Source organism: Homo sapiens, chromosome 22 (genome assembly GCF_000001405.40).
Source record: "Homo sapiens chromosome 22, GRCh38.p14 Primary Assembly".
Lineage (NCBI taxonomy): Eukaryota > Metazoa > Chordata > Mammalia > Primates > Hominidae > Homo > Homo sapiens.
The window spans coordinates 25,579,122-25,596,060 of record NC_000022.11 but is presented as its reverse complement, the minus strand read 5'-3'; the positions used below and the strand labels follow the sequence as shown (position 1 = coordinate 25,596,060).

Below are 16,939 nucleotides of genomic sequence, written 5' to 3'. Positions count from 1 at the left end.
GTGGTTGGTGGTGGTGGTTCTTATATACCTTCATGTAATCATCTTCCTTGAAGTAGAACATTTTATACATATATATACACGTATACATGTGTATTACATATACACACATACATACAAAGCGGGTCTCGCTCTGTCATCCAGGCTGGAGTACAGTGGTGTGATCATAGCTCACTGCGGCCTCAAACTCCTGAGCTCAAGCCATCCTCCCACCTCAGCCTCCTGAGTAGCAGAAACTGTAAGTGCACACCACCACACCCAGTAATTATTATTTTTTTTTTTGGAGACAGAGTCTCACTATGTTGCCCAGACTGGTCTTAAATTCTTGGCCTCAAGAGATCCTCCCACCTCAGCCTCCCAAGTGGCTGGAATTATTGGTGCAAGCCACCATGCCTGGCAATTTTTTATTTATTTAAAAAGTCTAATTTCCTAAACATGAGAAATCTAGTCTGTACTTATATTTTTATTTTTTCCTACAATTCTTGACTATTCCCTTATGTTCTACTTGTAATTTTCTTCACTGTACTATTCAGTCCCTATTTGTATTTTTAATATCTTGCATGTTTTTATTTTTAGCTCAAAGAATGTGGCTGGTTGTCTAATACTACACACAAAAAGTAATTTGATGTATTCCTAAGTATTTTGTGGGTGTGCAGCTACTGTAAATGGGACTGCATTTTAATTTGGCTCTCAGCTTGAACGTTATTGGTGTATAGAAATGCTACTGATTTCTGTACATTGATTTTGTATCCTGAAACTTCCTGAAGTCGTTTATCAATTCCTGGAGTCTTTGGCAGAGTCTTTAGGGTTTTCTCGGTATAGAATCATTATCATCGGCAAAGAAAGACAGTTTGACTCCTTCTTTTCCAATTTGGATGCCTTCTATTTTTTCTCTTGCCTGACTGCTCCAGTACTATGTTGAATAAGAGTGGCAAGAATGAGAATCCTTGTCTGTTCCAGTTCTCAAGGGGAATGCTTCCAGCTTTTGCTCATTCAATATGATATTGTATTTAGGTTTGTCATAGATAGCTGTTATTATTTTGAGGTATGTCCCTTCAATATCTAGTTTGTTCAGGATTTTTAACATGAAGCGTACTGGATTTTATTGAAAGCTTTTTCCACGTCTATTGAGATGATCATATGGTTTTGTTTTTATTTATTTATTTTATTTATTTATTTATTTTTGAGATGGAGTTTCGCTCTGTTGCCCAGGCTGGAGTGCAGTGGCGCGATCTCAGCTCACTTGCAAGCTCTGCCTCCTGGGTTCACGCCATTCTCCTGCCTCAGCCTCCCGAGTACCTGGGACTACAGGTGCCCACCGCCACGCCCGGCTAATTTTTTGTATTTTCAGTAGAGACAGGGTTTCACCATGTTAGCCAGGATGGTCTCGATCTCCTGACCTCGTGATCCACCTGCTTCAGCCTCCCAAAGTGCTGGGATTACAAGCGTGAGCCACTGCACCGGGCCAGTTTTTAATTTTTTTATGTGGTAAATCACATTTATTGGTTTGCATATGTTGAACCAACCTTGCCTCCCAGGAATGAAGCCTACCTGATCATGATGAATTAACCTCTTTGATGTGCTGCTGGATTTGGTTTGCTAGTATTTTGTTGAGGATTTTTGCCTCTGTGTTCATCAGGGATGTTGGCCTGTAGTTTTCTTTTTTCACTGTGTCTTTGCCAGGTTTTGGCATCAGGGTAATACTGGCTTTGCAGAATGAGTTAGGGAGGAGTCCCTCCTCCTTGACTTTTTTCTACCAGTAGAACTACAAAACACCAATGAAAGAAATCATAGATGATACATACACACAAATGGAAGAACGTTCCATGCTCATAGATTGGAAGAATCAATATTGTAAAAATGGCCATGCTGCCCAAAACAATCTACAGATTCAATGCTATTGCTATCAAACTACCAATGTCATTTTTCACAGGATGGGTAAAAACTATTCTAAGATTAATATGGAATAAAAAAAGAGCCCAAATAGCCAAAGTAATCTTAAGAAAAAAGAACAAAGCTAGAGGATCATATTACCCAACTTCAAACTATACCATAAGGCTACAGTAACCAAAACAGCATAGTGCTGATACAGAAACAGACACACAGACCAGTGGAATAGAAGAGAGAACCCAAAAATAAAGCCACATGCAGCTTTAGCTATCTGATCTTTGACAAAGTCAACAAAAATAAGAGAGAAAGGACTCCCTACTCAATAAATGGTGCTGGGATAGCTGGCTAGCCATATGCAGAAGATTGAAACTGGATCCCTACCTTTTACCATATACAAAAAAGTCCTCAAAAAATGCAAAAAAAAGTCCTCAAAAGCAACTGCAAAGAAAACAAAAATTGACAAGTAGGGCCCAATTAATCTAAAGTGCTTTTGCACAGCAAAAGAAACTATCAACAGAGTAAACAGACACCCTACAGAATGAGAGAAAATATTTACAAACTATGCATCTGACAAAGGTCTAATATCCAGATTCTATAAGGAACTTAACAACAAAAAACAAATAATTACATTAAAAAATGGGCAAAAGACATGAACAGACACTTCTCAAAAGAAGACATACAAGCAACCAACAAACATATGAAAAAATGCTCAAAATCACTAATCATCACAGAAACGTAAATCAAAACCACCATGAGATACCATCTCACTCCAGGCAAATGGCTATTATTTAAAAAAAGAAAGAAAGAAAAGAAAAGAAAAGAAAGAAACAGATGCTGGCAAGTCTTCGGAGAAATGGGAATGCCTATACACTGCTGGTGGGAATGTAAATTAATTCAGCCACTGTGAAAAGCTGTTTGGAGATTTCCCAAAAAACTTAACAAAGAAGTACCATTCAACCCAGCAATCCTATTACTGAATATATTTATTTTCTTTCCAAAAGAAAATAAATCGTTCTACCAAAAGAAAAAAAAAAAACCACATGCACTCATATGTTCATCACAGCACTATTCATTAATAACAAAGACAAGGAATCAACCTACATGCCCATCAATGGTGGACTGGATAAAGAAAATGTGGTACATATACACCATGGGATACTATATTGCCATTAAAAAGAATGAAATCATGTCCTTTGCAGCAATGTGAATGCAGCGGTAGGTGATTATCCTAAGCAAATTAACACAGGAACAGAAAACCAAATACCACATGTTCTTACTTATAAGTGGGAGCTAAACACTGGGTACTCATGGACATAACCTTTTTGATGTGCTGCTGGATTTGGATACCAGGGATGAATGGCGGGGGAGGGAGGGAAGGGAGCAAGGGTTGAAACACTACTGGATACTGTGCTCACTAACTAGGCAATGGGATCAGTCATACCCCAAACCTCATCATCACACAATACACCCACATAACAAACCTGCACATGTACCCCTTAAATCTAAAATTAAAGCTGCAATTATTGTTTCTAAAAAGTAATTCAAGATTGACCATAGGTCTAAATATAAAGCCTAAAACTATAAAAGTTCTCAAAGAAAATATAAAAAAAAACTTTGTGACTAGTTCAAGCAAAGACTTTAGACATGAGAGCAAAAACATGAATAATAAGAGAAAAACTGATAAATTAATTTCGTCAAAATTAAAAACTGCTGCTCCTGAAAAGACACTTAAGAGGATGAAAAGACAAGCCACATGCCGAGAGAAAACACTGGCAAACCATCTATCCAATTGAAGATCTGTACCCAACATAAATAAAGACGCTTTAAAGCTCAAGAATAAGAAAATAACCTAATAAAAAATGGGCAAATGATTTGAATAGACACTTCAAAGAAGATATGTGGGTGGCAAATAAGCATATGAAAAGTTGTTCAACATCATTAGTCATTAGGAAAAGGCGAATTAAAATCACAAGAAGATTCCACTACATACCTATTAGAGTGGCTACAATTACAAAAGACCATACTAAATGTTGGGAGGGATATGGAGTAACTGGAATTCTCATACACTGCTAGTGGGAATGTCAAATGAAGCACACACTTTGGAAAACACTTTGGCAGCTTCTTAGAGAGTAAAGTTAAACTACACCTACCATTTGATAAATCCATTCCATTTTTAGGTATTTTACCTGAGAGAAATGAAAGCATATATCCATACAAATATTTATACATGGATATTCTCAGCAGCTTTATCTGTGATGGTCAAAAGCTGGAAGCAACACAATAGCCACAATGGGTAAGTAAATATGCATATCACTATAATGAAACAGTACTCAGCAATAAAATGAATGAACTATGAATACATTTAAAAACCCAGATGGATCTCAGAATAACTGCTGATTTAAAGAAGCCAGACCCCCCAAAAAAGTACACAACGTTTGATTACAAAGAGGCAGGAGCAAACTTTTAAGGATGGTGCATGTGGTATAATAAAAAATATATTTAGTTTTTGTCTCTGGTTCCTGACACAGAGCTCCAAAAACGCTTGAAATTTCCTGATAGGAGTGTCTTTTATTCCTAAGGAGCCCTTTTCAACCATACCTGAGTTTATGCTAATGAGCTGACTCTTGGTGGGCTTCTAGATAGTTCAATATGGGGGCTTGTTGCCAGAGGAAGCAAAAGTGTGACTAGAGGGTTAAGACTTTCACCCTTATCCCCTGACCTCAGGGAGGCTGGGGATTGAGTTCTGTCACCAACACCCAAAGCTTTCTGCAATCAAGCCTACTTTGCTTAAAAACTCTTGAAGAGTTTGGAGAGCTTCCAGGTGAACACATCATGAGATGGGAAGGTGGTGCACTCAGAGAGGGCACAGAAGCTCTGCTCTCTACCCCTCCCTGCAAGACCCTGCACCATGTACCTCTTCCATTTTGCTATTCCTGAGTTGCATCTTTCATAATAAAACTAATCATAAGGATAGCATTTTCCTGAGTTCTGTGAGTTGTTCTAGTGACACAGCACACCGGAGAGGATGGTCATGGGAGCCCGTGAATTTGTGGTCAGCCAGGCAGAAGTATGGGAGACTGGGAACCCCATTCCTAGCTGGCATCTGAATTGGGGCAGTCTTGTGGGAATGAGCCCTTAACCTAGCAGTGGGGAGGGGGTCTCTGCTAACTTAAGGTGGTGTCAAAATCAAATTGAATTGTAGAACGCCCAGCTGGTAAGACAATTGAGACGTTCATTATCTGAATTTGGGTAATGGTTTTGCCAATGTAGATAAACTCACCAAACTGTGCACTTGTAATATGTTGTTTATCTTAGGTTAATTATACCTCAATAATGCTATTTGTTTGTTTGTTTTTTGTTTTATTGTTTTGAGACGCAGTATCGCTCTGTCGCTAGGCTGGAGTGCAGTGGCGCAACCTCCACCTCCCAAGTTCAAGTGATACTCCTCCCTCAGCCTCTCGAGTAGCTGGGACTGTGGGTGCCCACCACCATGCCTGGCTAATTTTTTGTATTTTTAGTAGAGATAAGGTTTCAACATGTTGGCCAGGAGAGTCTCGATCTCTTGACCTTATGATCCATCCGCCTCAGCCTTCCAAAATGCTAGGATTACAGGCATGAGCCACCGCGCCCGGCCTGTTTGTTTGTTTTAATTGCACCATTAGGATGCAGTAAGTAAAACCCTGAGTGTGGGGAAACTACACAACAAAATGACCTGATATCTTTAACAAAAAGTCTCAAGAGAAAATAATGATAGAAGAGGAATGTATAGGTCAAAAAAGAATCAAAAGAAATAACAATCAGGCATAATGTATGGACCTTATTAAAAACTCAATTCAAGTAAAACAGTATTCTTTAAAAAAAAAAATAGAGAAATGAGAATGTGCATTGACTATTTGATAATATTAAGGGAACATTTTTTTCGCAGTGGCATTGTATTCCACTTTCACTTTTGTATTCTGAAAGAGTTTTTATCTTTCAGGAATGCATATAGAAATATTTAAAGATGAAATTATATATATGATCTCTAGACATGCTTCAAAATAATCTAAGGGAAATAGGAGGTATAGATAAAACAAAATTAGCTATGTATTTGATATGGTTTGGCTGTGTCCCCATCCAAATCTCATCTTGAATTCTAGCTCCCATAATTCCCACGAGTTGAGGGAGGGACCCAGTGGGAGGTCATTGAATCATGGAGCCGGATCTTTCCCATGCTGTTTTCATGATAGTGAATTAGTCTCACGAGATCTGATGGTTTTATAAAGGGGAGTTCCCCTGCACACACTCTCTTGCCTGCTGCCATGTAAGACATGCCTTTGCTCCTCCTTCACCTTCCACCATGATTGTGAGGCCTCCCCAGCCATGTGGAACTGTGAGTCCATCAAACCTCTTTCCTTTATAAATTATCCAGTCTCAGGTATGTCTTTATTAGCAGTGTGAGAACAGACTAATACAGTATTAATAACTGAGAAAGCCGAGTGATGGCTGTATCAATTTCATACTCCTATTCTCTCGTTCTGTAAATGTTTAAAATTTTCATTATACAAAGTTTTAAAGCATCAAATTCCGGCCTCCAGAGTCCAGGGTTATTACTTTTATACTCCTCCTCACCAAAATAAGAGTTATGTATATCATACACTGTATACTGCTTGGAGGCATAATGACTTGTGTTAATTTAATACCAACTGGCTGGAAATATACCAGCCCTACCTGTCATGGCCTACTGCTACTTAAATCCATGGTAAGTATAATAAATATTGTATTATAATTTTAATTTATTTTCTACTACGAAAGTGGTTGAAAGACCAGACACCAGATATCTGCTCCCTACGGGCCAAGAATAGGTGGGCTAGGTTGTACGTCAACACCTTACTGGTAGAGAAACTACAATGTTTAGGACACTGCTAGATAACCTCACATTATTAAAATCCTACATATTCTATCTGAGGTTTAATTATGTTTTATTCTAATGTCCAAAATAAAATGCATTTAAGCAAATATTTTAATTAATAGGTAACATATTGCCTAGAAAAACTAGTAGCACATAATAAGGTAGTCATAAAGGTTGAACAAGTTTGTAAAACAGTGTTTTCTAAACTATAAGCAGTGAGTGGGCTTGGTGGCTCTATAATCTCAGCTCTTCGGGAGGCTGAGGCAGAAGCATCACTTCAGGCCAGGAGTTCGAGAACTGCCTGGGCAACATAGCGAGAACCCCTCTCTACAAAAACAAATTAAAAAGCTAGCCAAGATGGTGGCATGAACCTGTAGTCTCAGTTACTCAGGAGGCTGAGGTAGGAGAATTACTTGAGCCCAGGGGTTTGAGGCTGCAGTGAGCTATGATCTTACCACTGTACTCCAGCCTGGGCGACAAACCTTGTCTCAAAAAAAAAAAAAAAAAATTAATGAACTATAAGCAGCACACAAATGAGAATTGTTACCATTACTGACCCTCAAGAAAACCAAAAGATTCTTTTTAATGACCACACAATCATATCAAGATTCTGTTCCCCCAAAATGAAACTACTTTCCTTATATGTAGTTACTAAGTATTTTCCACAAACCACTCATCAAGCACGCAAAACAGAGCTCTGTTATCCAAAGTCACAATAAAGACTTGACCACTAGATTTAAAACCACTAAACTCCACCAGGATTCTGATGTAGTCTGTAAAAGAATCTTAAATAGTTTAATGTCAACTCTTTGAGTTTCCTCAGTTTCTTATGTCTTTTACAGGAAAGTCTCATATAATTTGCATAGTACTAAACAATTCAGCACAGGACAATCTATGTTCAGATAACAACCCAATTAGGCTAACTACAAATTTATTTTGTGCTTTTCCTATAATATTTTGATAATCCACATTCTGTTTTAATGCCTTTTTCTTTGCAATATAACTAGATATTAAGGTGACAATAAATATACTTGAATTTCACTGGCCCACAGTCATCAGATACAAAAATCATCCCCAAACAGACACCAGCTGAATGACAAATAAATTTATGGTGTCCTCGGTTTACCTAATCAAAGAGACTGAACCTTTATACTTGAAACTATCCCTTTAAATTAGTTACAACAGGCAGGGCGTGGTGGCTCACACCTGTAATCCCAGCGCTTTGAGGGGCCGAGGCAGGTGGATCGCTTCAGCTCAGGAGTTTGAGACCAGCCTGGGCAACATGGTGAAACTCCATTGTATTAGTCCATTTTCACACTGCTGGTAAAGACATACCCGAGACTGGGTAATGTATCCAGGAAACAGGGTTTAATTGGACTTATAGTTCCATGTGGCTGGGGAGGCCTCACAATCATGGTGGAAGGCAAAGGGTACGTCTTACATAGCAGCAGGCAAAAGAGAGAATGAGAACCAAGCGAAACGGGTTTCCCCTTATCAAACCATCAGATCTCGTGAGACTTACTCACTGCCACGAGAACAGTGTGGGAGAAACTGCCCCGTGATTCAATTATTTCCCACCAGGTCCCTCCCACCACAGGTGGGAATTATGGGAGTGCAATTCAAGATGAGATTTGGGTGGGGATACAGCCAAACCACATCACCCATCTCTACCAAAACTATAAAAAAATTACCCAGGCATGGTGGTACGTGTCTGTGGTCCCAGCTACTTGGGAGGCTGACGTGGCAGGATTGCTTAAGCCTGGGAGGCAGAGATTGCAGTGAGCCAAGATCGCGCCACTGCACTCCAGCCTGGGTGACAGAGCAAGACTCTGCCTCAAAAAATAAAAAATAAAAATAAAATAAATTAGTTGTAAGAATCATTTCAGAATCCATTTACCTTTTCATCAAAATCCTTTAAATCAGGAATAATACAGAAGAGACTATGTTCTATGGCTGTGGCATTATTAGAGGACAGAGACTAGGGTCAGGAAGCCTCATGCAGGGAGGGTTGCAGCCTCCTTGTTTCCAAGAGTAATTTTTCTAAAATATAAATCGGACCATGTAATCATCTCATTTAAAAGACTGCAAGGGCCACTGGGCACGGTGGCTCACGCCTATAATCCTAGCACTTTGGGAGGCTGAGGCAGGGGGATCACCTGAGGTCAGGAGTTCCAGACCAGCCTGGCTGACATGGTGAAACCCTGTCTCTACTAAAAACACAAAAATTAGCTGTAGCTGGGCGTGGTGGCAGGCACCTGTAATCCCAGCTACTCAGGAGGCTGAGGCAGGAGAATTGCTTGAACATGGGAGGTGGAGGATGTGGTGAGCTGAGATCGTGCCATGCACTCCAGCCTGAATGAGACTCCATCTCAAAAAAAAAAAAAGATTGCAAGGGCCTCTCGCTTTGCCCAACGTCCAAACCCCTTAGTGTACTGCAGGGAGCATTTTCAAGGAGGCTGCCTCAACCAGGTCTTGCTGTTGTCTTTCTCACACTGCAGCCACACTTGATTTTTTCATTTTTCATGAAAGACACAGGCTCTTCCACAGCTCCATCACTCTGTAAATACCATTCCCTCTAATGCCCTTTCCTTTTCACATGAAAATCTCCTACTCATCCTCCATGACCCAGTTCAGGGGTCACCAAGACTATGCAGCCCTCCCCAACTCTGCAGAGGTGAGCCCTCCCACCTCTGTTCCTACTGCTTGCTGTACATCACTGCTATATCATTTCCCACAATGGACTGTCATGATTTTTTTTAATTTATCTTTTAACATTTGTGTGTACACAGTAGGTAGATATATTTACGGGGACATGAAATGTTTTGATATAGACATGCAATGTGAAATAAGCACATCATGAAGAATGGAGTATCCAACCCCTCCAGCATTTCTCCTCTGAGTTACAAATTATCCAATTATACTCTTTATTTTAAAATGTACAATTAAGTTATTATTGACTATAGTCACTCTGTTGTGTTATTGCACAGCAGGTCTTATTCACTCTTTCTAACTGTTAATGATAGAAGTCCCTGTGTCTCCCACCACCCTTGAAGAGACATCAGCAATCATTCTAGTACTCAATCCCCCACCTTCAACACTGTTGCATACCAAAGGACTCAACATGTCACTGTGAAATGTCCACAAAGGAGTGAAAGAGTATCATTTTTCTAAATAAACTACACAATGATATAAGCATATTCATGTCAGTTAATATTTGCTAAGAATCTGTTATGGGTCTGGAAGTATTCTGGTCACAAGAATATAGAAAGATGAGTAAGACTAATTCATTTATACTAAATCTGTACCCACCAACACCGTGGAGCCTTCCCCAACCCTTCAAGAATGGTTTCTACAAGTAAGAGTGTATATAGCAAGATAATTAAAAGGGGGCTCTAGAAAATGTCATGCCCTACCAGAAATGATATTCCTATTTAACCTTAACTTTTTTCAGATTCTACACCCTTGAAGTTGCTATAACCTTTATGTGATGACCCAGGATTGCAACTGACATCACTGGAATACGTTTTGGCTGAAAACGCTTTTCTGCCTCTAAGTTTGCACCAAGGGAGCCCAAACAAATGAAAAAGTCACCCACAGCAGTGTTTCCACTCCTAAACAACTCATAAATGACAGTGGAACAAAGAGCAACAACTTTATGATTAATATAAACTAAAAGCTTAGTAAATGTAAACTTTAAAACTTTGTAATTAACGTAAACTAAAGCCTCTCCCAAGTCTTTGCATCTAGCTCATAGCTTGCCTGTGTGTGTATGTGTATAATTATCTCACATGACATATATATGAGGTCAGTTGAACTCTGTTCAGCTTTAGAATTGATAATTGGTAATTGATAATAAATAGTTTTAATTAATGGATAGCATGGTAACCATTACATTCTACCTATCAGTAACAGAAACCTTCCCACCTCAAAAATGAGCAGGGCAGATGGCCAACCAGATTCACATCACATTTCCCAACCTCTATTGCGGTTACATAGTCACAGGTCCTAGCACACGCCAATGGAATGTGAGTGAAACATGCTACTTCCACTTCACTTCCTTAAAAGGAACTTGTGCACCCCACTTCCTCCTGAGTGGGAAACACCCATAACACGAGGCTTGGCCGAGAGGTGAAGGCCCTATAGCGAGGCAGGCAGAGCTGTTCTACAAGCCCAGGATGAGGGAAAGCTGTGGGCTGCAAAACCCAGTCCCCTCCCTAGTCAGTTCTGAATAACTCCAGGCCAGTGGTTCTCCACTTTACCTAGACTTTAGGATTACCTGGGAAGAATTCTAAAAAGCTTGGTGACTGGGCCTCTCCAGGGAGAGTCTGATGTAAATGGTCTGTGGTGTGGCCTGGACGTGGGGGCCATCTCATTTTGGGGTCTCTTGGTTACAACAGCTTAAGCCATGTTTTCATTAATAAAGACGGCCTTTCCATTCAAGTGACCGGGCACAGGGTTTCCCTGTATCTAAGTTTCTCAAATCATCTTGACTAAAAAAAGAAATACAAGGCCAGTGGATACCTGAACCTGCAGATAGTATAAGAATCCTATATTTACTGTTTTTTCCTATACATACACATCTATGATAAAGTTAAATTTATCAGTTAGGCACAGTAAGGGATCAACAATAACTGCTAATAGAACAATTATAACAATATACTCTTCACAATTTCATGGATAGAACATTCTTACTTCTTAGAAACCTCCGCATATGATTTATTCTGTTCTCTTACATTGAGAATGTTCACCTTTTCACTGAGGCAGCACTTTGCAGCTTCCCTTTGGCATATCTGAACTGCCAGCATCGCTACTCACACACTTTGGGGCCATCATTCAATAAAATAAGGGTTACAAAGGATCTGATACCTAAGCCAGGTACTAAGGGACCCACAGGGCAGTAGCATCTACACTGAGGATTCCTTGAACAAAGGAATCACGTTCCAGACAGAATGGTGCAAGATTTCATCTTTCTAGTCAAAATGGCATGCAAGTTAAAACTTAGCAATTATCTATTTCTGGAATTTTCCATGTAACATTTTCAGGCCTCAATTGACTCCAGACAACTGAAACTGCTGAAAGCAAAACCACAGATAATGGGGGAACCACCACATGGCTAAAGCAGAGCTTTCAAAGCCACTTTTCAAAACAAATCAAAGTCTTCCAGAAAAAGTACTCCCAAAGATTTTAGGCATTTACTCCCACTTCCCTACTTCTGCCCCCAGTTGATTCTAGTTTCATATTTGCATATTTCCTTACTCATTAATAAATCATTAGCTTTTCTCTAGTATTTTTCTCACATAAGCTGCCGTAGCATTGTTTAGAGAAAACTATTTTTCATAGTTTATAAAAGCTATAGTGCCAAATCTGTCCAAATTTGGGGTTGAAATATGATGTTATAACCTATACAATATTTCTGCACATTCAAATGAATTCAAGAATTTCTGATCTCGCACCATTTGAAGAATCAAATCTTTGCCACAGCTGTCTCTAACGAGTCAAATACTTGGTATATTAGCTATGTCTAATATAGGCTATTAAATACATAGACTCATTGGGAGGAAAAGGAAAAGACAACTCATCTGTTCATTCACCCATTCGCTCATTCAAAAGATAGGTGCTGCATCCTTACCCTGAGCCAGACACTGAGTCTGACCCTCAGAATACACAGTGAACCCCACTCATCCCCTGCCTTCAAGGAGCCCATGTCCAGAGGGGGTGACAGGAGAGGACACAGACAGTCTAAACAGTGTGACTGCAGGGTGCCCCAGAACCCAGGTCACTACAGCTCAATGACAGAATCTAAGGGACCGTGGGCAAGGCTGATCCTTCCAAGGGGAAGGACTGTGTAAGTCCTGTTAGCCTGCCCCAAATAACCTAATGGAACAGACAATGGATGACAGTAACTAAGAAAAAAAAAAAAAAAAAGTACACAGAAAAACGCCAGGCCACAAATAGCCTCCACTTTTGGACTGACTTATTTTTGTAGCCATGTGAGAAGAATTCCTAAATTACCACCTATGAAATTAACGTCCATCTTTCTGTGGCATTTTTAAAGCAAGCTCTTCCTTCCCAATGACTAACGGATGAAATTACCACTAGCAAACAGGCGACTCATTTGATACAAATTGCCTTACTTCCTGGACACCCAAACACAGTTCAGGCCTCCTACCCCCTCTCTTCCCTAGGACAAGAGCCAGTTAGGAATTTTAGTAAGTATGCGCTATCTAAGCAGATAGACTTACAAACTAAAACATGCTCCACAGAAGGTCATGCAATGTAATTTTTCCTCCTGTCTTTTAATTTGGATTCTGAGATCTCTGTCACATGCCAACTTTTCATTCATGTCCTCGTATCCATTCATCTCCTCCTTTGTGGTTTCCAGGTTTGGGGTTTGCTTAGGAAAGCCCAGAGTATCTGTACTCCACAATAAGAATATATTCCTTTTTTGTATTTTTAGCTTTTTTATTATCTCATTAAATACCCTGGAATTTATTTTTGTGTATAATGTGGAGGAATTATGGCTTTATTTGATAGACAGCTACCACACATCACTCTTCCTCCTCCACTCGAAATGCCACCTGTATTTAACATAAACCAAACTGATATGTGTACACATCTATACATGAATATTTACACTGTTTTAGTTGCTAGAGGAATGTTTTATATTAGAGCAAATCTCCATTGTTTTACTTTTCCAAAATTATATTGGTTATTTTTGCCCATTTTTTCTTCAGATGAATGAGCACTGGCTTGTGAGTTTCTCTAAAATTCTCATTTGGAATGATTCTCATTTGAATTTTGGTCTTGAATTTACAGATTAATTTGTGGAGACCTGACATCTTCACAATGTCGAGTTTTCCTGTCTAGAAATATGTTACAGCTCTCAATTTACTCAGATTTTTTAAAATTTTTCTCTTAATAAACTTTTTTTCTTCACACTGGTCCTGTTGGTAATTACTTAGTGAGGCCCGGTTTAGAGCAACACACTCTTTTTTTTTTTTGAGACAGGGTATTGCTCTGTCACCTGGACTGGAGTGCAGTGGCACAATCTCATCTCGGCTCACTGCAACCTCCGCTACCTGGGTTTAAGTGATTCTCCTGCCTCAGCCTCCTGAGTAGCTGGGATTACAGGTGCCCACCACCACGCCTGGCTAATTTTTGTATTTTTAGTAGCGACGAGGATTCACCATGTCGGCCAGGCTGGTCTCGAACTCCTGACCTCAGGTGATCCACCCGCCTCGGCCTCCCAAAGTGCTGGGATTACAGGCCACCGCGCCCAGCCATGAAACACTTATTTATTTTAAAATGATTATTCTGAAATGTTTTCACAAATTAATATTCAAGTAATTTAAAAATAGAAAGCTGTTAACATAATTTTAATAAGAGAGACTTACATTGCAAGGTTTCATTAGGCATGGATAGTATGCTTAGAGGGTAGATTATCTTAAAGAGCATGGGTTACTTTTTTTTTTTTCTGCTAAATTTAAACATCAGAGCCGTGATTTAATAGATACCCATGATCTGAATAAGTCAGTGAAGTCTTTTGCACTCAGGAAGTAAACAGATCATCGTTTTCTAAAGTATGATCTCTTACTGTGCTTTCTCCTTTCAATAGCCTTCTTACATTTTTTTTTTCTCATCCTTCTATAGCAAGCCTTCAGGTCAAGAAGTTGTAAATCTGTCCACTCTGGTTGGATTAGTCGGGACTCTTAGGTTGCAAACGAGCCTCTTAAAACTCTACCCGCATCTTTGTAATCAGTGTCACAGAGCCTCTTTTTGAGTCATCTAATGCAGTTTCCAAAAAACACATCATCCTCCCGTCAATCTAAGTTGTTTGAGATGCAGTACACTTGCATCTTGCATCTGTGTATGATGCTGTCATAGAAATTATATAGTACATCTTAAGTCACCAGTGCTATTACACATGACATTGGGAAAACTGAGGCTTCCATTAGCCCTGCAGGGACACAGTTGTGATATTCACACCTAGCCATCTTCTCTACTGTTTTGAAAAATTATTGCAAAAGTTTTCAAACATGCAAAAGGATATAATATAGTGAACACCTAGACCCATCACTCAGCACCTCATTGGAAGTTACCAAGATTGTAATCTGCTACTTTTCCCTACCCCACCCTCCATTTTTTTTCTTTTACTTTTCTCTTTTTTTGAGACAGAGTCTCACTCTGTTGCTCAAATTAGAGTGCAGGAGTGCAATCTCAGCTCACTTCAGCCTCACTCTCCTGGGTTCAAGTGATCCTCCCACCCCAGCCTCCCAAGTAGCTAGGACTACAGGTGTGTGCCACCATGCCCAACTAATTTTTGTAGAGATGAGGTTTTGGTGTGTTGCCCAAGCTGGTCTCGAACTCCTGGTTCAACTGATCCGCCTGCCTCGGCCACCCAAAGTGCTGGAATTACAGGCATGAGCCACTCCACTCGACTTATCCCACCTTTATTTTTTAAAGCATTTTAAAACAAATCTCAGCCAGGCACAGTGGCTCATCTGAGGATCACCTGAGGTCAGGAGTTCAAGACCATCCAGGCCAACATGGTGAAACCCCGCCTCTACTAAATACAAAAAATTAGCTGTGGGCATGGTGGCAGTCGCCTGTAATCCCAGCTAGTTGGGAGGCTGAGGCAGGAGAATTGCTTGAACTCAGGAGGCGGAGGTTGCAGTGAGCCGAGATTGTGCCGTTGCACTCCAGCCTGGGCAACAAGAGCAAAACTCCATCCCAATCAATCAATCAATCAATAACAAATCTCAGACCACATGTCGTTTTAGCCTATTTCAGTTTGCATTTCTAAAAATTATGGATAATTTTCTCATATAAACACAGTCTATTATCACTTCCCAACTCCCCCTTCAAATTGATAATTCCTGAAGATCCAATGCCCAGTCTCTAACCACATTTCCATGACTCAAGTGTCTTTTGTATAGCTGGTGGGTTTCAATCTGGATCTAACCAAGATCCACACATTCATCTGATAGCGCCATCTCTTAAATCTCTTCTGGGATTTAAGGCAGACAGGGAGAGTACCTGACTGTCCCCACCCCTGACCTTTATCTGCAGTGACCCCCTGAGGAAGCCGAGGAAGCCATCATGGGGGATGCCCTTTCTGTCTGTTGCTTCCCTATAAGGTCTTTCACTGTTCCTCTCTCTCCATATTTCCTATAAACTGAAAGTTACCTCAAAAGGCTTGATCATATTCAAGTCCACCATTTGGGGGCAGGAATACTTTTGAGATGGTTTTGGTACTTATATTGCCTCACATTAGGGGGTACACAGTTATTTCATCCTAGTGATGCAAATTTTACTTAGAAAATTCAGTTGGTGATAGTCTGATCTCTCCATCTGAAATTCCCCATCAATCTTTCATTTAGCGATATCATACATTGATGATCTTTGCCTAAATCAATATTTTCATTAAGAATTGCAAAATGGGGATTTTTTTAAAATTTCGCCATTCCTTCCACATTAATTTGCTGCCATTCTTCTGTAAAGAAGTCCCCTCGGCCAGGCTCGGTGGCCCACTCCTATAATCCCAGCACTTTGGGAGGCTGAGGCGGGCAGATCACGAGGTCAGGAGATCGAGACCATCCTGGCTAACGCGGTGAAACCACGTCTCTACTAAAAATACAAAAAATTAGCCGGGTGTGGTGGTGGGTGCCTGTAGTCCCAGCTACTCAGGAGGCTGAGGCAGGAGAATGCCGTGAACCCGGGAGATGGAGCTTGAAGTGAGCTGAGATCATGCCACTACACTCCAGCCTGGGGGACAGAGTGAGACACCATCTCAAAAAAAAAATAATAAAAATAAAAAAAGAAGTCCCCTCATTCATTGGTCGGGCACAGAGGCTCAAGCCTGCAATCCCAACTTTTTGAGAGGCTGAGGTGAACAGATCATTGAGCCCAAGAATTCTCGACCAGCCTTGGCAACATGGCGAAACCCCATATCTACCAAAAAAAAAAAAATTAGCCAGGCATGGTAGCATGTGCCCTTAGTCCCAGCTATGTGGGAGGATCAGTTGAGCCCAGGAGGTTGAGCCTGAAGTGAGCTGTGATCACACCACTACTGTACTCCAGCCTGGGTGACAGAGCGAGAGCGTGTCACAAAGAAAAAAAAAAAAAGAATTCCTGTCCTGCCACCCCAACCATCAACTAGGG

General features: G+C 40.3%; 1 protein-coding gene across 4 annotated transcripts in view; it reads right to left on the bottom strand.

Annotated features, from left to right (window-relative positions):
- The window catches only part of GRK3 (G protein-coupled receptor kinase 3), a 164,620-nt gene that overhangs the window by 133,234 nt on the left and 14,447 nt on the right, over window positions 1–16,939 (bottom strand). Inside the window, exon 1 of one of the 4 annotated variants that reach the window (XM_047441166.1) lies at window positions 1,549–1,786. The exons of the other annotated variants lie outside the window; for them this stretch is intronic. Within the exon in view, the coding sequence (XP_047297122.1) occupies window positions 1,549–1,556 (8 nt within the window). The 5' untranslated portion in view covers window positions 1,557–1,786. Of the gene's footprint in view, window positions 1–1,548; window positions 1,787–16,939 lie in introns of those variants that run through there. 4 annotated transcript variants of the gene reach the window in all.